The sequence below is a fragment of the Homo sapiens genome, chromosome 12 (genome assembly GCF_000001405.40).
Source record: "Homo sapiens chromosome 12, GRCh38.p14 Primary Assembly".
In the NCBI taxonomy this organism is placed as follows: domain Eukaryota; kingdom Metazoa; phylum Chordata; class Mammalia; order Primates; family Hominidae; genus Homo; species Homo sapiens.
In genome coordinates this window covers 105,151,897-105,176,179 of record NC_000012.12, presented here as the reverse complement: position 1 = coordinate 105,176,179, position 24,283 = coordinate 105,151,897, and the positions used below count along the sequence as shown (strand labels likewise).

The following is a 24,283-nucleotide window of genomic DNA, read 5'->3' as shown; positions in this document are numbered from 1 at the left end:
TGAGAACAGTGACCTCACTGTACTCCCAAATCACATTTGTTCTAAAATTTTATCCTTCTCTACTTTTGCCAATCACTACTTTTCTTGTCTTTTGCAGATATGTTATGCTATTAATTTGGGAAAAGAAATTATTGAGGTTCAGAAGGTAAGATGCATTCTAGCGCTGGTTTAGTAGCTACTCAAAACACATCTGTGTACACATACCAAGAGTCTTTTCAAAAAGAAAAGTGATGTTCACTGGAAAGTGTGGCCAAGTTTGGGATTTCCTTTTAAAAGTATTCTAACCACCAGAGGTTTTTGATCAGCTAGTTCCATGTTCACTGTTAACACATGAGGACTTCTTATCACTGCTGGAGCTCCTGCTTATCTGTTTTCTTGCTTGCATACTAGTTGGCTAGATTTCCTCTTTCAGATTAAGATGATAGATAAGTACCCACCGTGTGCTGCTCTAAGGCCTTGCTCCTCAGAGTATGATCACATGCCCCACAGCATTGACAGACGTCACCTGGGAGCTTTTAAGAAATGAGGATTCTGAGACCTCCCTGTCTTTCAGCAGCTTTTAATCTTTTGTTCATTCAGCAAATTTTTGAGAGCCTAGTTTGTGTAATTGAACAAGACAGATATAGTCCCTGCCCCCAGGGGGCTTCTAGTTCAGCAATGTACAGAACTTTCTGCAATAATGGAAATGATTTATATCTGCACAATTTAATATGCAGATTGAATATGGCAAGTGTGACTGAGGAACTGGATTTTTAAATTTAACTCAAATTTACATAGTAACATGTAGCCAGTGGCTACCATATTAGTGCAGTTCAGTCTTGGAGAGGTCAGAAAGACCAAGGACTAAGGCCACATACATGAAATAGTGGCAAGCACTGTAAGCTAGTATTTAATGGTATTGGTCAAAAGTTGGCAAACTTTTTCTATAAAGGGTCTTTATGTTTTTGGCTATCTCCCTTGCAACAGATTCAACTCTGCTATCATAAGACAAAAGCAGGCCAGGCATGGTGGCTTATGCCTGTAATCCCAGCACTTTGGGAGGCAGAGGCAGGAGGATCACCTGAGGTCAGGAGTTCAAGACCAGCCTGGCCAACATGGTGAAACCCCATCTCTACTAAAAATACAAAAATTAGCCGGGTGTGGTGGTGCACACCTGTAGTCCCAGCTACTCGGGAGACTGAGGCACAAGAATCGTTTGAACCGGGGAGGCGAAGGTTGCAGTGAGCTGAGATCATACCACTGCTCTCCAGCCTGGGCGATAGAGCGAGACTCTGTCTCCAACCGCCGCACCACCCCCCCCCCCACCAAAAAAAAGCAGCAGCAGCATGGACAGTATGTAAATAAATGGCCGCAGCTGTTTTCCAATAAAAATCAAATGGTTAGCCAAATGACCATAGTTTGCCAACTTCTGGTATAGATTAAACGTGAGAAAAGAAGGAGTTTAAAGATAGAGAAGACAAAAGTTCTGTGAAGGAAGTTCCTCTGTGGAATCTTTGGGAAGATGATACGAATTGACTACGTAAACAATATTTTGGCTCAGAGGAAAACAGTCTAGATTCTAGAAGTGACATGCCTGAGTTTGAGAAGCAAGGAGACTCAGCGGAAGGCACATATACACAAGAGTCAGGAGAAACAAGACTAGATTACAGAACATATTGAAAGCCAGGCCAAAGGGGTTTAAATGCATCTTAAGCCTTTTCTTTTTTCCCTTTTAAACTCTCCTAACTTCAGGATCCAGAAGCACTGGCTCAATTAATGCTGTCCATACCACTAACCAATGACGGAAAATATGTACTGTTAAACGATCAACCAGATGACGATGATGGAAATCCAAACGAACATAGAGGCGCAGAATCCGAAGCATAACTCACTTGCGCCTGTGGGGGAAGAGCAAACAGGAAGGAGAGCTACCTCCTAAGGGTTTTAACGTCTCTGACATACAGGCACACTGACCTGATTTCCGAAGGCTGACAATCGTTTGTGGAATGTAATCTTGATGCCTTGATACTGAGACTTGGGAGGGAAACTAAGAAATGGTTGACAGCGTTCCCACCCATCTACAATGTTATTTTAGGTGCTTTGTGGTAAGTCTTTTTTCTTAGATTGCGCTAAAATTTCTTAGATTGTTCAGCGCTCAGAACAAAAGTTTGAAAAATGCATTGTTCATATGAATGTCATCTCTTTTCAGTTTCCAGTATCCTTTTTAAAAAATGGCAAAAGCCTAGATTTACAATTTGATGAACACTAAATATTTCTTATTAATATAATCTATTTTTGTATTTTACTTAATGAGCTTTAAGTGCCTGTCGTTCTGAAAATTGTGTATTTATAATTCAGCTTATCTCATAATTGGACCTAATAGCATTTCTTTGTGCAGTTAGGTGATGAGCACTGCTTTGAGGCCCAAGCACTAGTAGAGATGCGCGATACAGGTCTAGTTTCGGTAACTGTTCCAGACATCAAGCAATAAAAAAATGAATACCACAAAAGATGTTTGATTTTACAGTGGAGCCTTACTGAACCAGCATTCAGAAGTTTAAGGTCCTCCTAGGTATGAGTATTTTTAGTAGTGGATCACTGTGGACAGGGTGCAGCTCTACCAGTTCCTGTTTCTTCTGAGCCAGACCCTCTTCAGGGAAGGGACCAATTAATTTTAAAACTCACTTGAAGCACAGCTGGTCATGGGGCTTGGTATAAAGTTCCTATTTCCACCCTGATACTTCCAATTCCTGGAACCCCAGCCCACTCCCCCATCCCTCCTCCCTATCAAACTAGTATAATGATTTTGAATCGGTACAGTGTGTTTAACTGTAACTAAGTTCAACAGACTATTATTATCTTTGTAATAAATTAACCTAGCAATAAAAAATATTCTGTTTCTTTCGTTAGATGTGGTTATTTTCTAGAACATCCCTGGAAGAAAACTAAAGTCAGCTCTATAGCTTTAACATTCAATTTCCCAAAAACTAGGGCATAATGAAATCACAGAAGAGGGGATATAGTATCAAAAAATACTTCCAGTCAACATGAGTAGAATATGTGATCCCATTGCTAAAAGTTTTAAAGGTGTTGCTTTTAAAATGGTGGATAAAACAACTTTTGTAATCCAAAATTAGGTTAATATAGGATCCATTTGAAATGTATACACCATAAAAGAAATAGTGAGCCAGTCTAAGCCAGTATGAGATTATGCACTGTAAAATTAATTCATTGTTCACTAATGCCTTACAAATTTGTATGACATAACTGCTTTAGATCAATTGGTTCTCTGACAGACTGCAAGAACCACAGTCCCCTGAACTTTTTTTTTCTTGCTTAGACTTTTTTGGGAGAGGGGTAGAATCTGAAGTCCTAAACAATTATTAGTTTGAAAAGTGAAACACTATACATTTCTTTATACATTTCAAATGGATCCTATGATGTTAACCTAATTTTGTATTACAAAAGTTATTTTATTAATCCACCATTTTAAAAGACTGCATGGCTTAAATAAGACACAAAGCATGCACATCATTAGGGAAACATAAAAAGACTGAAATTCAGTCCATTAAAACTAACTTCATCAAAAACCACCACAGAGAATGAAAACACACAACTAAACCAAAGATACTAGCAAGCACACAAGACCAACAAAAAATTAGCATCCAGAATATATAAAATACTCCTACAGGTAGAAAGATAAATTGAAAAAAAAAGTCATGAAGGCATTTCATACATTAAAAAAGACAAAGTGTTCATAAACAGAAACAGACTCCTTATAGTAATCAGGAAAATGCAAATTAAAACCACAGAAACATTATATTCACCAGACTGCAAAAATTCAGCTGTTTGTAGAAATGGAGCAAAGGGGAATCTCCTCAGCTGCTGGGATGAAACAACAGTTTGGCATTCTGTCCAGTACATTGAAAGGGCACCTGCCGTACTACCTAGCAGTTTTACCTGCAGGTACACAGCCTAGAGAAACTCTAAACACATGGACCCAGGGACACGTTCAATAATGATTACAGCATCATTGTTTACAATATCCCAAAAGTGAAAAACACCCAGATGTCGTCGACAGAAGATAGCTGTATTCATGTAATGAAATGCTAAACTACAGCTATATGCATCAACGTGGATGAATTTTTAAAATAATGAAAAAGTTACAAAAACATATAATAAGATCCCATTTCTATTTAGTTTGAAAACTGAAACATAACCATATTATCAATATTTAGGAAAATACCATCAGTTGTAAAACAAGGGAACAGCAAGAGAATGATTAACACCAAACCCCCATGTGGTTTTCTTGGGCAGAAACTGCAGGAGCTTCTAAAGTGTTCTTAACTGATAACGGTAGCTTCTTTCCAAGTGCTTTATTTTCATTCTTTAAATAGTATAATACATATTGTATACCTTGCATGCACTATTTTTAAATAATTTTAAAACTTAGAACTGTGGGTGATTTGCCCCTTTTCTCCACTTACTGAACTGTGTATTAATACACATTAAAGTGCTCTGAAAGATAACAAGTGCCATGTAAATGAAAGGTGGGAAGGGTGGGAAGAGAGGAAATGGGACCTTTTTAGAAGCCAACTATTCTTACCAATTCCCACTTCCCAGGCTGGTTTAGCCTCACATACCCATCAGACTACCTTTAGGGAAGAACAGGGCCTTCCTTACCTTGTCTGCATCTACCTGAGCCACTTAACAAGGAATAGTTTTTTAGAGACCCACTTAAAGTCAAATACAGACTTTAGTTTCAATCGTTCCACCTAAAAGAATAGTTAACACTTAATGCTTATGTGCCAAGTTTATTCCTACCTATGAGAGTACACATAATACAGTAATAGCTAATGTTTCCAGTAGTTATATACAAGAGCAGCTAATATTTAGTTACTGTTTCCTAATATATAAAGTGCTTTACGCAAATTAAATCCTCAAACAACCTATGAGCTACATACTGTCATTATCATCCCACCTTTTGCACAAGGAAATGAAGCACAGAGATATTAAGGAATCTGTTCCTAAGCAGGAAATCGGGATTCAAATTGTTCTGGCTCCAGAGTCTATGCTTCTAACCACTCTGTGCTATATACAGATGACCTCAAGAGAGAACCAGATACTAAGCAATCTCCAAATATTTCTCAATACATTAAGCTTTGACGATTTATTCAATAGCAGTATCAACCTAAAGCATAATATCCTTAATACTTTGCTACCTTTTGTACAGATTCTGAAAAGAGTAAATACTTTAATACTAATCTGATAAAGACAAGTGCTTCTAGGTATAAAAGTTAACTCCTTCCCCCATCAAATGAGGGCATTATTAAAGAATGCTTGACTCTTACCTACAGAATGTATTTATAGTCCTTAGAGATGATCCAAGAATTATGGTATCAGATCTGCATCGACTGAATAAATTTGATGTACATTCCTGAGTATATCTCCACTAATGGGAAATGGAGGTATCAGGTGAACTGAGTGGTAAAGAGGAGCCAAACTACTGAAAAGAAAATACTTACTTGCCCAACTTTTCTTATACATTATATATATGCTGACCTGTGTTATAAACTGAACTCTAACTTTGCCATCACCATCTCTTGAGTTCACTGCCTTTGCTTAGTCTCTACAGATTTCCACTTATTCTGGATTCCCTTTTTAAACTTCACATCTTTGACAGCCTATTAAAGTATTCCTAACATCTGAAAGCCTTTGTTAAAAAAAAAATGTGGTATTAAAACTTCCCTTAAAAAACGAATACCGTCTTCTGAAACATCTGCAATGTGAAGCTGGAAAGAAAATCCTGTTACAATTATTAAAATCAATTAAAGCCTACCTTTTACATTTAGCAGACTCAGCATAAAATAATAACATGAAGTATCCAATATTTTCTCATCTTTCCCACAATTTTACAAATTTACTGCCTCAGAAGAAAAAAGGAACAGCAACCAGACTTAACTTTACCAAGAATGATTTCTGCAGTGTAGTATTTAACAGGATTGTACCTCGTCTCCAGTGTAATATTTTGAAGGCTCTGTTGTCATTACTGTAGTCCCTGCTTATCTGAGAGGGATACACCAAAACGCCCAGTGCATGCCTGAAACTGCAGATAGTATCTAACCGTATATATACGGTTTTTTCCTATATATACATGCCTATGATAAAGTTTATAAGTTAGGCACAGTAAGAGATTAACAATAACTAATGATGAAACATAACTGTAACAAATACTGTCACCAATGCTGCGGAGAGAAGATTCATTCTTACCACAGATCTTAGCAACCCCACATATGATTTCTTTTCTTTCCTTATTGAGAACTTTCATGTTTTCACTTAAAGGATGCATTTTAAGGCTTCTCTTATAGCATATCTGAATTGCCAGCGTCACTACTCTTGCACTTTGGGGCCATTATTAAGTAAAATAAGGCTTACTTGAAGACAAACACTATTGATTTGACAACCTAGCTACCAAGTGATTCATGGGCAGGTAGCACATACAGCATGAAGATGCTGGGCAAAGGGGTGACTTACGTCCCAGGCGGGATGCAGCATGACAGCACAAGATTTCATCATGCTACCCAGAATAACACACAAGTTGAAACTTATTGTTTCTGGAATTTTCCATGTAATATTTTCAGACCACAGCTGACCACAGGTAACTGAAACTGGAAAGTAAAACACGGATAAGGGGAGACTACTGTATTGTTTTAGTTCAACTCAGGTTTGCAAATAGCACTATAGTTATTACTAACATTAAACAATGCATACTGATAATCCCTTTCCAGGATTAGGATTTAAAGTAACTTCATATTGGTTCTTTTTATTGGAAAAAAGCTCTGGAAAGATCAAGGATGTATAAAGGAAAGAAAACACCTTTCTTTCACCTGGAATACATTGACAGGAGCCAATTTTAAACTTCAAATTTTTACCTATGTGCATGCATTTTATAAAAAAATGATTCCACAGATTTCATTTCATTCAATTAAGGGGGACCCCAAAAAGGTTAATATTAAGAACTACTGGTTTACGACATTCAATTTTGAACATAAACATCCAGGGGAAGGAAATTTTCAAAATTATGTTTATTAATGTTTTAGTATACACATTATATTCTCTTAGAATTGGGGGAAAAGGAAAACCCCACTCAAGTGAGGTAACAAACTTGCCATCTTTTACAAAATTTCATTAGAACTGACAATGTTATGGTGAGTCCTTAATTCCTGAGAATTTGAATTATTAAGTTTTCTGTGAACTTAAAACAAACGCTCACATTAATTTTTAAATTACAGTATGTCTGAAAAAATAAAATTAATGTTAATGTTATCAAGAAAAATCATCATCCAAATGTACATATTAACCTATTAGATGTGAATATACTGAAGCCCTGTTGCTCTGCAGTTTGACACCATTTAAATTCGTTTCCAGGATCTTATTTCAAATATATGAACTTATAATTTATCCAGATAGCAGTGACATTATTTTGACCTAAAGGAAAAATAATTGTCTGTCATTTTCTTCTCAACTGTAGGTATCCAGGGAGTCAGCATGTGAACTCTATCTAGTATTGATAAAATAATTAATTTACATGTGTAGGGATAATGAACACAGAACATGTGATTCTCTTCTAGTAACAATTTCTATCCCTTAATAGGAGATGATTTCAGAGAAGTTAGAGAAGAAAAACAGAGAAAACAATACTGTTGCTATGAAATGACGAATTTGATATAATCAAATGCAAGATCATTAATATAAACACTTATAATAATGAAAATATAAATTATTAATTATGCAGCATGCTTTAGGGCCATTTCTACAGTTATTATGAATTACAAATATTAAATGCCTTTAATCTATCCACTGTTCATAATTCTGTAAGCCATGTTTACATAATAAACAAAAAACATTTCCTACATATTCTGTCTCTTCTGACTTTTAACAATTAAAGTATTTATCTTGGGCTGGCAAGTTACCCTGACCCTAACCAGTAAGTACAAACAGGGCATTGTACACCCATTCTAAAAGCTGGAATCAAAGAATAATGTTAGAAGTATTTGCAGGATTTATCCAAAGAAATGTTTAGCAGACAAATGCAATAGAAAAAAATCAAGCATTTCCCAAAATGGTGTTTGTATTAGAAAGTTTTAAACTTTTGTCTTCATTGTAAAGGTATCACTTTATTTTATTTTTAAAAGGCCATGATTAACCATTTAATAACTTACATACCTTTACAAAAATAAAACTAACAGCTTGCTGGGCACAAAATTTACTCAAAATCTTTCTGTATTTTTAAAATCAGTAAGTGATGTATCTTGCTAGCGCTTTATTCTCACAGTGGTATTTTTTTAAAAGCCTGAACAGTGTAATTATTTAATCTGATGTTTTAAATTATACTTGATATAAAAAAAAAGTCTACCCAAACCATCACCAAAATTTCAATTCAATCTAATGTAGAAGAAACCTGAGTTTGGATGTAGAAATAATTCATTCAATTTTTTTTCTGACATCATACATCATGCCTTCAACCAAAATAGAAGTGAAGCTTCAAACAGGACTCTATGGCTTTATCTGAATTTTCTGAGTATTAAGTAAATCTTAAATTTAAAGCAGCTGTTGGAGGTTAAATGTTCTCAAAGCAATGTAAACTAGTTATAAAATGTCTCATCAAAGACATCAGCAGCTCTTGTGAGTCACATGAAATTAACAATGAAAGAAGGATCATCAGTTATACTGTACACTGAGAGTACATAAAACACTTGTGCCTCACCTCTAGTATCAAAGCCATCTTCATATATTCCTTTTATAAGAATATTGATATGTATTCTTTATGAACTTCAGGCTCATTCCTTTTGTTAAGCATGTATTTACTGGCTGTATATAGTATATGCATTGAATTTCCCATGACTTGAAATAACTATAGATCAAAGATCTATGCAAATACAAATTACAAACATGTAGATTACAAGAAATCCGAGGTGATAGTTTATGAATCTGGATTTGCCCTTTTATAACTTCACTTCAAATAGAAACATCTTGTACCCTCAAGTCCAGGCAAAAATCCAATTTTAAAATCTCATTCTTAACCTTTGAAAGTAGAGCCTTTGGAAACAGAATGAACTTCACTTTAAAGCACTGCCTTTAAGAACTGTAACATCTATTTTCCAGAGATGTGACCCAGGAAACAATTCATCAATAGTTTATCCATTCCACTGGCAAAAGTTTTAACAATTCTGATGATTTCATCATATGTGCAGTGAATACCATCCGTATCATTTCACAACAGGATCAGCAGACACAGTGCTGTCAGACAGGTCTCCATTGCTTGTTTTAGTTTCTTCTGAAAGCATGAGTGAAAATAATAATGGATATTTATGTTCATTTTTAAACAATAAATTAAGAAGTAAAAGAAATTTGAGAAGAGCTGTATTGCCAAACTTCAAATTACAGTTGCATCCATCAAATGTTTCTCTAACATCACAAATTATACCTTGTTTACACTTTAAAATTTTTAAAAATCTAGGCTAAACACTGCAATTGTTTCCACTGGTTTTTAATGAAGGTGGAGTTGAGGGAGCTCAGAACCTGTATTGGGGTGGGGCTTCAAACCACATGGGCTCCTTTGTCCTGAGGAATCTTGATATTCCTGGTCTAAGAAAGGCCCGCTCCCCTCACGCCAGTTCCTCCAGCTGGGCCAAGAAAGAACCATTACAGTACATTGTCATTCCTGGTAGGAACATGGCTGCAAACTCACATATCAAAACTGTCCAGAATGAATAACTTTCCATTTGTATTTATAACTTATTATAATAAATTATACGTAATATATATTATTTCTTAAAATAATTTTAAATGAAACAGCTTTTCACTGTTTTTGACAGAATGAATTCCTGGCTTTTTGTGCAAAATGTCATGTGTGCATATTTCATTAACAGACAAAGACTATTTGAGTAATGTATTCAGAAACTGACTATATCTCTGAGCAATCTTTAGCTGAAATAGTCTTAGAACAGTGATGTGAGTGATAACATAACAACTGCAACTCTGGAGAGTTCCTTAAGAGGAATAGGCCAAAGCAAGGAATCCCACTGCCATGAGACTGAAGGGTTGTTTGTTTTGTTTTAATGCTTTAGCCTGAAAGCAAATGTCCAATCGCCCCGCAGAGTTTTCCCAGTCACCTGGGCTGGGGAAAAGGTTCTGGCATCATGAAACACATGAGCAGAACTGAGGCAATAACTGAGTTTCTTCATAATTTAGATTATATTGATTCAAATTCTTCCAAATGGCTTTGCTAATTTATCCTTGAAAATGAACACAAATGTAGTATGTATAAATTTTCATTTAATATTGAGTGTCTTCCAGATTAATAAGCTGAAACAATTTTTTCAAGCATGTTTATTTAGTCTAGATTCAAAAAACGCCTGGATATGCACCTAATTAATAAGTAATATTAGTAATATTTAATTTATGCAACAATGTCAAGAAATAAGGTAGTTCACGTAAGTGGTCTACCCAATGAGTCACCTCTACTCTATATAAAGAAAAAAGGTGTATTTTAAAAATTAACATAAAATAAGATTAATAAAAACATCTTGTTTTATGAAGAGCTTTATATCTTGATTTATGAAAACTTCATGAAGCACGAGTAAGACAAAAAGGAGACTAGTAAACATGAAAATTATAAGGGTTAACTAGTCGCTGTATCTAGTTTTGATCTTCCAAGCAATGAGAAATGTATGCTATATAATATCCATGACAGAAAAAGGGAAACATCTGTTTCTCAGAGAAGATGATTATTCCTAAATTTCAAATCTGAGAGAAATATATCATGGGGACATTAAATATGAAACACTGAACAATGCTCTTACGCCTTAAAAAGTATAGATTCCTTTCCACCATCCTACATAGAATACAATGGACAGAATCCTTTCCTTAATGACTGAAGTTCATTGAAATCACTATCAGTTATTATGGCTATATTGCCTGAGTCTCCAGGGCCTGACTATGAAAGAAGGCAGGATGCTATTTACTACAACTAAATAGCCCCTATGATTTTACAGTTCTTTAATCATCTGTCCCATCTCATTCAGTCAACATCTAGTCATCAGCAGCTCTGCCTTCAGCAACATTTAGCTGTCCTCCTCTATTTGTTCCTTCAAATCTAATAGTTTGAGCCATGAAAGAAAAACCAAACTTGTGAAAAGTGTATTTAAATTAAAAGCAGATGATCCTGAACAAGGTTTTAAAGGGTTACCAAGTGTGAAATGCATAAACTACATAAATTCCTTTTCAATTTCACACAAGATCTATACAGGCTTTACTTTTTTTAAAAGACTTAATGCTAGGTCTGTGTTATTTTCCAAAAGGACAAAGAAGCTAGATGTCTGACCAGATAAAATGGTGCATTACTGTCTATTACTAAAGACATTTATTGGTCTTTCCAAATTTAAACCACTCACTGACCTTCCTTCTCTTTCTTTTCTTGGTTTTCTTCAGCCGCAGTCTTGTCTGCTCTGAAGAAAATTCTTGCACTGCTCAGTGAGAAATACAGCAATTCAAATTCCTAAGTAAATTTAAAAATTTGAAATAAAAACCAAAAATACTTATTATGGCAAAATACCAAAAATATATGCATTTTTATGCCTCTTATTATTATTTTTAAAAGCTCTAGTGGAAATCATAAATACAGAAACTGAAATAAGTAACCCGCCCATTTTTAAGATGTGAGTCAAATGGCTTCCAAATAGCACTCATTTTAAAATATAATCTTTTTGCCACTATTCATCTCACTTGTGAAAATGGTAGTTTCTATATGGCTTCTGCTTTTCAGACATTAAGAAGTCATGGATATCAAATGGTAAGTCAAAGCAGATGTGACTCTTAGGCTCCTCTCTACCTGTAGATAGACATCCAGTCGCTTCTGAGTGAGATTCATGGTTTGTAAGAGTTTTTCATCTTGACTGGCTGACTGTACATTCTGTTGCTTAGCAACTGCTCTTATCTCCTTCAGGTATTTCTCTCTAACAGACTGGAACCAGTGAAGTGAATCAAACTCCCGATACTGATCCAAAAGCTTTAGAATGTAAGCCACACCTGCAGGCATAAGCAAAACTAAGGTTAAATTACAGTGAGTACAGAAGTGGTATTCTACTCCTTCACCAATAATTCCCAACACTAAGCATTCTGAGTAATAATTCCTAGCATTTTAAGTTTGTCCCGTTTCAAGTTACATTTTACAGCATAAATGAATGATGGGTTTAACAAAATGGCTTAATTCCTCCTTTAAAAACAATGTAGAAGTATAACTAAAGACAAGTCAATTAAGAAGAAAATAAATAACTAACATGGCCATATAAATCACCAGGAGAAACGATATAGCTGTAAGCATAAAGAATAAAACTTTCCATGACTTGTACCTATAATCCCAATACTTTGGGAGGCTGAGGCTAGAGGACCTCTTGAGCCCAGGAGTTTAAGACCAACCTGGGCAACACAGTGAGACTCCTGTCTCTAAAAAAAACAAAAATTTTTTTAATTAGCCAGATGTGGCGATGCATGCCTGTAGTCTCAGCTACTCGGGAGGCTGAGGTGGGAGGATCGCTTGGGTCCAGGAGGTCGAGGCTGCAGTGAACCATGACTGCACCACTGCACTCCAGCCTGGGTGACAGAGCAAGACCCTGCCTCAAAAAGAAAGGAAAAAAACACTTCAACTGCTAAAAAGATGGCAATTGAGGAAGCTACAAGGAAACCAGAGAAACTAAATATAAGACGTTAAAACTGTACAACCCCAACAAAAACAAAGCCTAAATATTAGGCCAAAGTGGACAAGTGATTAGCAATACTAAGAAGGCATTCAATAAGTTATAAACTACAGAAAACAAGTATCGTCAATCATGTATTCCAGCTAAAAACACGGTAAACAACACTCATGAAAAACAAATCTATAGGCCGGGCATGGTGGCTCATGCCTGTAATCCCAGCACTTTGGGAGGCTGCGGCGGGCAGATCACGAGGTCAGGAGATCGAGACCATCCTGGCTAACACAGTGAAACCCCGTCTCTACTAAAAATGCAAAAAAAATTAGGCAGGTGTGGTGGCGAGTGCCTGTAGTCCCAGCTACTCGGGAGGCTGAGGCAGGAGAATGGTGTGAACCCAGGAGGCGGAGCTTGCAGTGATCGTGCCACTGCACTCCAGCCTGGGCAACAGAGCGAGACGAGACTCTGTCTCAAAAAAATAAAAAAGAAAAAAGAAAGAAAAATCTATAAAGAACATATAGACCTATTCTCAAGCAGATGTTTCTAAGAATCCATTACAAGGTCAATATAAAATTAATGGAAAAACAATTCCATTAAGCTTACCCATGGCAAAGCCATCATCAGTAAAGGCAGCTCCAATTTTATTTTTTTTATTTAATTTTTCCTTGCAACTAATGGAATGCTCTACAAAGTTGAGGGTCTAAAAAGATGTAACAACATGTTAGAAAAACAATTTTGCTAAGAAAATCTTCAGAATTCCTATAACAGACATTTTAAAAATTATAAATAGAATCACTATAAATAGAATAGAATAGAATCTAGATTCCTGTCCTTTTCATCTGAAACATTTGCCTTAGGTACCCTCTTGGTGAAGATACAATCTATACAAGTGTATCTTCATGGATCTCCTTTCCAAGTCCTTTAAATATGGGCACTCCCTCAATCACTACTTAGCCCAAGAACAGTGCCTTGTATATCTCATTATAAAATATTATGCACATTTTACAGAGAAGGACACCGAGGCTTGGGAGATTTATTATCTCACCCAAAGTCATATATTAAGTGAATGCTGGAGTTAGCAAAGTAGGCCTGCTTTATTTCAAAGCACAAGTACTCTTAAAAACATATGCAAGACAGTCCTTACTTACACCTACCTAATTCATTCGAAAATACTATTTCTTTTCATGTTCTTAAGTGTGAATCCTCAAAACAGTACGTCTCTTGAAAATTCAGCTCTTCCAAAATGACTTATCTAATCATATCTTTTATTCAACAAAGATTTACTGAAGCTTACAATATACCAGGCATTATTAAGTACTTATGATTAAACAAATGATTTCTATCTAGAGTTCACAGTCTAGAGCAACACTGTTGGCAGGGACAGAAATGTGTATCTGCACCATCCAGTACATACAGTAAGCCACTAATCACAAGCGGCCACTGAGCACTTGAAATGAGGCTAGTGTGACTGACAAGCTGAATTTTTAATTTTTAAAAAGGTATTTTTATTTTTTTCGCCCTGCCTTATGATTTTAATTTTATGAAATTTTAATTAACTTAAGTAGCCACATGTGACTATACATGGATAGCACAGCTCTAGAAGAGTAAATGCAGAAGTGTTTAAAAACTAATTATGATATACAGTGTGCTAAGTACTATAATAGCCTACGCTGGAAACAAAACCAAGTTTCATTTTTTTGACTGTGAAACTTATTCAGCAATTAATCACCTGTTTGTGAATTTTTTATCAATCATTAATTCAATCTTTTTTAGAAATCTCATTTATGCTTGTCTTTTTTCTGGAACTACACTACAAACACAAGTACAAGAACAGTATTCTATACTTCTTTGTAGTGCTTTTAATCCACTTTGTTTTCTCCATCACTAAGCGAATTCTGACAACTGCCTTGTAAAACTCCAGACTTTTTCCTAAGCTTACCAATGGGTTAACTGCTGTCTACAATGGTTTGAGTACATTGCCCTTCAAATTAAAAAAATATGGTGAGAACTCACCCCAAGTTAACTATAGTATTACCAAATATGACACTCTCCCTCCAGTTTGACACTATCTTAAGATGAAAAGATTCTTACAAGATGAATATGAACATTTTTTGCTATATCATAGTTAAAATACAATTATGATAGAAAATTAACAAATGTATAAAAGAAACAAAATTCATGGAAAAAAGCTGTTTATAGGCTATTAGCTACTTTCAATAGGTAATAATGGTTTTAATATGTAAGAAGATGTGTTAACAACTTGGGCAGCAATATGAAAAGTCACTATTCTTGATCAAAATTAAATATAATAAAGAGCTTCATCTGCTGGGTGATATTTAGATTTTAAAGCTATCTACTTACAATTTTTTTTAAACTTTATAGGAACCTTAAGCCAAAACAACTCTTATTACTAATATATACCTCTCAAAAATTCTTAACTCCATTTTCCCTAATGGAACAGCTGTTTTTATAATGCAATTTTTGATAACTTGAACTATTTTTAGATAGCAACTACAGAGTTAGAGCAAGAACACGTTACATACTCTAAGAAGCATTAAAAATTTAGTCCAGATGTTAGTATTTACTACTGAATAGAAAGAAGTTATCTTGAAACAATATGCTTTAAGAAATGTGTTAGAAAAAACTATAATAACAGCTAAAGTTATTCTACATTAAGCACTTAAAATGATTATATATTAATAATTCTGCCCAAAGATTCTATGGCATATACTCATATAACTTAAAAAATACTCAAATTTCTCCAGTAATTATTTAAAAAAAATAAGAATCTATCTTAGGCCATACGTGGTGGCTCATGCCTGTAATCTCAGCACTTTGGGAGGCCAAGGCAAGAGGACTGCTTGAGCCCAGGAGTTCAAGACCAGCTTAGGCTACACAGTGAGACCCCATATCTTAAAAAAGAAAACAAATTACCAAAATTAGGCATGGTGGTGCACACCTGTAGTCCCAGCTACTAGGGAGGCTGAGGCAGGGGGCTGGCTTGAGCCCAGGAGGTCAAGCCTGAGTAAGCCATGATCACACCACTGCACTCCAGCCTGGGTGACAGGGCAAGACCCCATCTCAGAAGAAAAAAAAAATTTAACAATAAGAAAGTGTCCTTCAGCATGGCTAACAAATAAAAAATTCTATGTCACATTCACTGAGATCACATTTAGTTTTATATGCAACCAGGAAATTAATAGTGTAGTCTGTATGCATTTCGTGTTACAAAGAAACCAGATCTATTTGTGCATACTCTTTTTAAAAAAAAAATTCATTTTAGGTTCTGGAAATACTCACCAGAGGGGGAACAATTATATAGAAATTTCGGAGATGTATATTCTTTGGCCTTCGAAATTCTGGAGCAAAAACGTCTACAAGCATTTTGAAATATTCTGTGCCTTCGGCAGAATTTCGTGTGTGATCACTGAGGACTGAATCCAAATGCCTAAAAAGCAAAAAATTATTTGGTTCCTTTCTCAAAAGAAGCGTGGCTTTGAAAAAAATCCATCTCTCAATAGTTTAGATAAGAACACTTGAAAAGCAGGAAACACTGTAAGACACTTCTAAGAAAATTTTCTTGGAGTTCAGAATAAACTTATTTTCTCATGGACAGAAAACTGATCAATATTAGTAAATTTAGTCCCAAAAATAGACTATTAGAACATCTTGGGACTTAAAATAATAGTTCTGTATTTCTTCTTCCCACAGTGAGGCCTGTAGAACTCCTCTTCATTGTAAATATTTCCTCTTCCCCTTAAATCTCTAACGTTTCTCCTACATCCCCTTACCTCAACATAAACCTGGCTCTTTTTTTCAAGAACTCAGTTTCCCTCTCAACCTTCAAAAACATCAGCTGCTTTTTCTCCTGCATCCCTCATGTACAGCTACTACCACTTTCAATTATTATTCCTCCACCACTGTAAGAAAGAAATCTTCCTTTGTGACTCACATAATCCAACTATATCTAACTACCCAAATACTCAACTACTTCTTCCTAACAGCAGACATCTACTAACCTTTTAACCACCGTCCTACAATTACGCAGGATTAGGATGCCTGCTCCAGTTCTCCCCTGTCTATGCAGATAATCTATTCATTATCATGACCCTACATTTCCTTGACTTCAATCAACCACTCCCTTGCACCAATCTGGATCTTCCAACTAGCAGTCAGCTTTACCCTAGAGATCTTAGAAGACAATATCCTACTCTCTGATTTCCTCACACTGCTTCAAAATATTTTTTAAATGGTCAACACTTTCGGAGTGAATGGCATCATTTAACATAAGGTAAAGGTCTGATCCTTTCCTTTGAGACACACATCAGAAACTATTTAAACCATTTTCAGGCACATGACTTCAAATGGCTTAACTTTGTAAATGGCTTATGTAATCTGGCAAAGAGCTTAAGCTATCTAACAGACTATTCCAGAGCAAAGCTTCTGTGCTGGGGCCTTATTCTCACAGAAATGCATGCATTTTCCCATATACTTTTTTATTTTTTAAGATTTCAAGCCTATCAAAAAGTTAAAATATAGTATAATGAACACCCGTATACCCTTCAACTAGATTCACCACTTGTTAACATTTTGACACAACTGTTTTCTCTATTTTTCTGAAACACTTGAAAGTTGTGGACCTTTTATCACTTAGCCCATTAATGCTTTAGCATGAATCTATTAAGAATGAAAACATTTTTCTACAAAGCCACAAAACACTGTTATACCCAAGAATATAATACAGTATTAACTAATATACAATCCATGTTCAAATGTCCCCCAATTATTCCTCAAATGTCCTTTACAGCTGTTTCTTTCCTTATCTAGGATATGATTAAGTATCACCCATTACATGTGATTATCAGGTCTCTTTATTCTCCTAATCTAGAACAATCTCCGTGTATTTTTTGTCCAGGCCAAGTGTTTCATAAAATGCTCACATTCTAAATTTTTCAGGACATTTCCTCCTAATAAATTCAGGATAAACATTTCTGGCAAGAATACAAACTAGGTACTTGACATTACATTGCATCAAGAGGCCACATTACATCTGTCTGCTCCATTACTGGTGATGCTAAGTTTGATCACTTGGCCAAGGTGGAATATATTTCTCCACTGTAAAGACAGTTTTCTCCTTTGTAATTAATAAGCAATTTTATGGGATGAATTACTGAATGAATCCTCTGTTCTCTAAAAACTTTTCACCTAATGTTTTAGAAACCACTGGGGATTCTTGCTTGATTTCAAGTATTACAGTGATGGTTACAATTTCCCCCCTAAATTTAACAAGCATTCTTCCATAAAGAAATGACTTTCATTCTCTTATCATTATGATCTTCTTATGATAACCCTTCTTATCATTATGACTCATTGATTTTTTTTATTCAACAGATTTTTATCTATCATTATTCTTTTTGATCAAATTGTCTCCCCCTTGCCCAGGGGTGCCCCTTCATGCCTGATTCAATAACCTGCTATAAGTGTGAATAAAACATACAGTTTTCTAAACATATTCTTACCAATTCTGCATGCCTCTCGTGTTATGGGACAAATGCACAACTGACTCAAGTCCTGCACTGTTCAATAAGACAGACATTAGCTATTTAAATTTAAATTAAGATAAAATTTACACTTCAATTCCCCAGTCGCATTTGCCATATTTTAAGTGTTTACCGGCCATATATGGTAGTGGCTACAGTGCTGCTATAGATTACATATAAGAAAGGACTGGCATTCTAGAACACTGTTGGTGAAGAGAAATATTTTAAAAAGTAAAAAGAAAATAGGTGAAATGAATTTTATGATTGAGGTATTTGGCATTCCTCCTTTTATACTAAATCTTCAAGGTTAGTTATGTACTTTATACTTGAGCACATCTCAGTGTGGACCAGCCAAATTTTAGGTGCTCAAGAGCCATGTGTGGCTAGTGGCTGAAATACTGGACAGCATGTTCTAGAAGCTGGAAAGGTCTTAGAATACTGAAGTCTTAAAAATTATACTTCATAAACTGAGGCCATAATTTTGTATAATAAAAACAGTGGCATAAAAATTACATATTACCCTCTGGTCTTCTCTTCAGAATGTTTTTTATAAACACACTTTTTTATATTTCCAAATTTAGATTACCTTGCTGCTTTTAATGTTTCTTCTGCAAGACCTTCTTCTTTTACTAGTTCTTCAAAATTTACAATATCTTCAAGATCAGGAACAAATCTACATAAGAATTTGGGAAGGCATTTATTAGGTCAAGTAAAATATGTGCAATTGACACAGATATAAAAGTGGTACTGCAGGACTCTAAAATTTTCAACTATGTATTTGGAAACAACTGTGCATTTCAGTAATATTATTCATATCACCACTTTAGTTCCAAATTGAATTTTAGATATGAATATTTTAATCCTTAAAATCATGTAATCTTTACATGCATTCATAAACCATATTGATAAATTAACTTAAGAGAAATATTTTCAGAAGTCTGCTGCAGTCTTAAAATTTGAGAAAAATCTAGTAGAATTAATAGTTTTCTTCCATATTTTATCTCAAAATATATCAAGAACAAACACCTTATCTACAATATCACTTGTAACATATATTTAATGGACACAATTTTTAAAATGGCATAAACAAGGCAAAAATGATGTTTGCATCCATACCTAATGGCATTGCTGCTACAATGAAGACCACCAGATCTTATCATTCGTACATAGCCCATAGCATTACCTTAAAAACCACACAAAAAAATCAGATATTTATATAAATAACTCTAAATTCTAATAGGAATATAGTTACATACAGTAGTAAATTACAAGGTTTCCACTCCTAAGAACCAAAATATTTTGCTATATTTTACTTCAGTTCTTATCATAAAAAGTAAAACTGTTACATATTTCTACACTTAAAATATAAACATACATACTTATATATAACTATATTAAATATTTAAAAGTAAATGTTATTTTCATTTGATAAACTAAAATCATTAAATGCTGACTACATTAAAATGGTCAAGCTTAAAATTATAATATCAATAATTTCTCCTCTCACATTGAGATTCAATCTCCGCCACATACACAATTGGAAGTGATATCAAGAAATCTTTATTTGATGCCTCCCAAATTTATATCTCTGGCCTGGACTCTTCCTCTGAACTCTAGGTTTTTTTATCCGATGCCTACACTTTTATGTCTAATAAGAATTTTATATTTCATATGTCCAACTCAAGCTCAGGATCTTTATCCCCAATTTTGCCTATCAAAGAAACTGGCAATTCTATCCTTTCAGTTGCTCAAGCCAAATGTCTTAAAGTCATCCCTGGCTCCTTTCTCTCACATTTTATAATCAAAATGACTGGGCAAATTATATTGACTTTGCCTTGAAAACGTAGCCAGAATCCACCCACTTTTCATTCACCCCTTCATAGATATCCTCCTATCCAATCCATCACCAGCTCTTGGCTGGAGCACTGCAATATGCAATGGCCTCCTGATTTCCCTACTTTCACCTTTAGCATCCTGCCACATTCCCCAGTGTTGTATAATATCTACAGAGCTGCTAGTGAATTTTTAAAAACTAAGTTAGAGCGTATAGTGCTTTTTCTTTTTTTTGAGACAGAGTCTCACTCTGTCACCCAGGATGGAGTACAGTGGTATGATCTCAGCTCACTGCAACCTCCGCCTCTGCAGTTCAAGCGATTCTCCTGCCTCAGCCTCCCAAGTAGCTGTGATCACATGGCGTCCGCCACCACGCCCGGCTAATTTTTGTATTTTTAGTAGAGATGGGGTTTCACCATGTTGGCCAGGCTGGTCTTGAACTCCTGACCTGAGGTGATCCACCCACCTCGGCCTCCCAAAGTGCTGGGATTACAGTGTGTGAGCCACACATGCCCGGCCCCATATCATGCTTTTTCTGAAAATGCTGTAATGGCTTTCCACCCTCAGTAATCAAAATCCTGACATCGATCTTGCACCCCTCTGCTACTGTTCAGATAGCATGCCCTGCCACTTAGATCTTTGCTCACTCCATTCCAGCCCCTATTTCTCAAAAATGTGAACGAATCAGGGCTTTTGCACTTACTGTTGCCTCTGTCTGGTAGACTCTTTCCCCAGATGCACGTGGCTTACTCCCCAACCTTATTTAGGTCCCTGCTCAAATGTCACCTCCTGTTTTCCCTGAACATCACTGACTAGCACTGCCCAGCCCCCTTACATCTCCTTACCCAGTACTTATCACTGACATACTATGTATTTTTCTGTCTGCATCTTCCCCCACCTAGAGTTCAAGATCCATGAGTACAGCCTTTGTCTTCTTCACTGCTCCATCCCTAGAGCCAACATGTCCTGGCAAATAGTAGGAATTCAATTTATAATTGAACTTTATTGAAATTACTTGAAAGAACAGACGGAAATGTAAAAACAAGTTAACATTTCATAATCATGAGTAACATACATTTTACATACATTATCTTATGTTTTTAACAACCCTACATAGCAGTTAACATTGAATCTATTTTAAGGCCTGTCCCAATATGAGAAATGACATTGAAATTTTTTTAATGTGCATCTTTAAAAAGTCAAATGACAAGTTTGTTTTCCTCCAAATCATCAGACCAAAGTCTGAGGAAGCAAAATAGGAGAGCCTAGTATAGAGCGGCAATTAAGAGTAAAAGCTCTGAAGCCAGGCCACCTGGGTTCAAATCTGGTCTCCCACATGTTAGCTAAGAGACCTACAAATTATGTTATGTTACCTCTCTGTATCTCAGTCTTCTCATCTGGTAAATTAAGCTCAATAAGGACAGAGACTTTGTTTACTGTCATAAATATCATCAGCACCTAGAAACATTTGTTGTACTGAATGAATACCTGTGCAGTGAATGAAGGGAAGAAATATTTCATAAATGTTGTGGTAAGATTCACGTGAGTTAAAACATATAAAGCACTAAGAATAGCCATGGCACAGTAAATGCTCAATAAATGTTAATTATTATTATTTCAGCAGGCAAGTTATTAGTCAAAAAGGCTTCCATTTTGCTCCCAGATTCTTTACACCTTTTCTCAAGATATTTATCAGACTCAAAAGCACATTACAGTGTTTTATAAGCAGAGGTAAAGAATTTGTATTGGCCGGGCGCAGTGGCTCACGCCTGTAATCCCAGCACTTTGGGACACAGAGGCGGATGGATCACGAGGTCAGGAGATCGAGACCACCCTGGCCAACATGGTGAAACCCTATCTCTACTAAAAATACAAAACTTGGCTGGACGTGGTGGCATGCACCTGAAGTCCCATATACTAAGGAGGCTGAGGCGGGAGAATCGCTTGAACCTAGGAGGCACAGGTTGCAGTGAGCTGAGAACATGCCACTGCACTCCAGCCTGGGTGACAGAGCAAGACTCTGTCTCAAAAAAAAAAAAAAAGAATTTATATTTTCTAAGAAGAGAATAAAGAGTAAAACGATGGATTAAAATGAAAAGGATAATATTCCCCAATTGTGGACTGCAACCTGGTGGTAAGCAAGGTGACATTAGATGGCACACCAAAGAACACTTAGTGATTATGTATTTAGGGCAAAAATGACTAGCATTTTAAGGACTATGATTTAACAACTGTTATTTCTAAGGAAAAATTATACTCTCAAAAAAAATAAAAACATGTAACAATAGTGAAGGCAGTATTAACAGGATGCAAAAATTCTGGGTATGTGTATAAATAAAACTTAAGTAACACTGCTCTAGAAGGACAGCTCTTAATCTGAGGTCCATAGACCCAAGCTTTAAGCACATGGACTCTAGCATATCATACACAAAATTGTGTACGTATGTCATATAGGCATTAGTTCTGGAACAATCATCCTGGAGTTTTCCTCAGATTCTCAAAAAAGGTTAAGAACTATTGCTCCATAAGTTTGCCGCTTAATATTAAATGTCCACTTGAAGAAAACTTATTTGTACTTATTTGACAATACTTAATATTGAATGGTTTATAATAAAACATTTACAAAGGTAAAATCCTCCAAGTTCTTGTACTAAAACATAATAGAAATGTCTAATATGCAAATCAATTAACTGAAAAAACTTTACTCCAGAATGAAATGCTTATAACGTATTACCCACTAGTAAACCTAAAGTCTCCTGAAAGCAAAGGGGTTGGTATTCCCAGCACCTAACAGAAAATGTGGCATAACAGATGCTTAGTAAATGCTTGATAAATGAATAAATCAATCTCACAAGGCAGAATTTTCCCAAAATATAGTCAATAAGATTTTACTGTTTGGTGTTAATATAAACTTTCAAGAATATAAAACCCATTTGGACTTATAGCTAAATAACCCTGGTTTAAGTCCCAGAAACATGACTTACTTCTTTCTCTAAGTTTCTCTTTTTTCATCTTTAAAACGATTACATGCCTATCTCACAGGGTTATTGTGAACATATAATGTATGTGAAAAGCTCAAATAAGTATAAAGTTTTGTTAAGCGATGATTATGAAATGTAGTTCTTACTTTTAAATATAAAAGTACTACATATCAGAAGACAAGTTCCACTCGTAAGGGCAGAAGGACAATACATTATATGCACAAGTAAAATGGTGTAACATAGAACTTAATAACTTTTCATGTAAATATTTTATACCTTCACATTTAGACTGGAACTTGTGGGAGCCTTTTAGAAGCCCAAAACAGTGCCTTGAACAGAGCAGGTATTCAGTAAGTACTTACCAGTTTACAATTATTAATATGACCTTTGAGATTTAGTTATTAAATAACTTTAATTATAATTGAAGAGGTTTTATTTACGTGATTAGCCTATAGTCTATCAATTATTTCTGCAGCAACAGTCTAATCATACTTACAAATTTTGGGGGTAAAAAAATTACATGAGTGGAGTAAAGCTGAGCTCAGGCTTTCACATGAGCTGCTTATTAGTGTGAAATAGTTAATATATGAGATAGACTGTAGGGATCTGTACCTGATTTCCCAACACTTTTATCATAACTTACCAATCTGGCTGATGAGTTGCCTGAATTGATCAAGGTAGCTCTGTCCCTCAGGTGTTACTCCAAGTTTTCTGATGCCTCGATTGAATTTTTCTGCTCTATCAAAAGGATACTAGACAGAAAATTTTAAGGCTACTTTTAATAAAGATTTCTAAAGCACAAAATGCCTCCCAAATAAACCATGCCAATACTACTCTCCTTTCAATTTTGTATTTCATTGTGCTTAAAAATTAATTAAGATTAATAATTCATACACTACCAATGTTCAAGGTCAATATAACTTTTTTCTTTTTGACATTAGCTAAAACGACTAATAATCAATGCCACTAACCTAATTTCCCTACCACAATTATTAGTCTCCTAACCTCCAACAACTCTAACAGAAAAAAGAAACCAATTCCTCCCAGAAACACCTGTTCACAGATGTGTGACCAAGTTTCTGTGGGCTGAATAGGTATTAGGGACTTAGAAACATACTCCTTCTCAATGAACACACGTCAGCTGGGTTAAAATTTCTAGTAACCATCACCAATAAAAAAACTACTTTTTGGTCTTGGT

General features: G+C 35.4%; 2 protein-coding genes across 21 annotated transcripts in view; one reads left to right on the top strand and one right to left on the bottom strand.

Annotated features, from left to right (window-relative positions):
• Positions 1-2,880, top strand: part of APPL2 (adaptor protein, phosphotyrosine interacting with PH domain and leucine zipper 2) — a 62,875-nt gene extending 59,995 nt beyond the window's left edge. For all 13 annotated transcript variants that reach the window (XM_017019554.2, NM_018171.5, XM_006719472.2 and 10 more), the window contains 2 exons: positions 98-145; positions 1,732-2,880. In XM_017019554.2, coding sequence (XP_016875043.1) covers positions 98-145; positions 1,732-1,866 — 183 coding nt within the window. In that variant the 3' untranslated portion in view covers positions 1,867-2,880. The remainder of the gene's footprint in view (positions 1-97; positions 146-1,731) is intronic.
• WASHC4 (WASH complex subunit 4) overlaps positions 7,050-24,283 on the bottom strand; it is a 61,400-nt gene continuing 44,166 nt past the window's right edge. For 4 of the 8 annotated variants that reach the window (NM_001293640.2, NM_015275.3, XM_011538073.4 and 1 more), the window contains 8 exons: positions 23,729-23,837; positions 19,388-19,454; positions 18,858-18,944; positions 16,032-16,179; positions 13,335-13,431; positions 11,873-12,069; positions 11,440-11,539; positions 7,050-9,316 (listed from right to left, as the gene is read on the bottom strand). In NM_001293640.2, coding sequence (NP_001280569.1) covers positions 9,249-9,316; positions 11,440-11,539; positions 11,873-12,069; positions 13,335-13,431; positions 16,032-16,179; positions 18,858-18,944; positions 19,388-19,454; positions 23,729-23,837 — 873 coding nt within the window. In that variant the 3' untranslated portion in view covers positions 7,050-9,248. Of the gene's footprint in view, positions 9,317-11,439; positions 11,540-11,872; positions 12,070-13,334; positions 13,432-16,031; positions 16,180-18,857; positions 18,945-19,387; positions 19,455-20,705; positions 21,071-21,477; positions 21,593-23,728; positions 23,838-24,283 lie in introns of those variants that run through there. The other 4 variants (XR_007063060.1, XM_047428593.1, XM_017019082.3 and 1 more) reach the window with 4 other exon arrangements.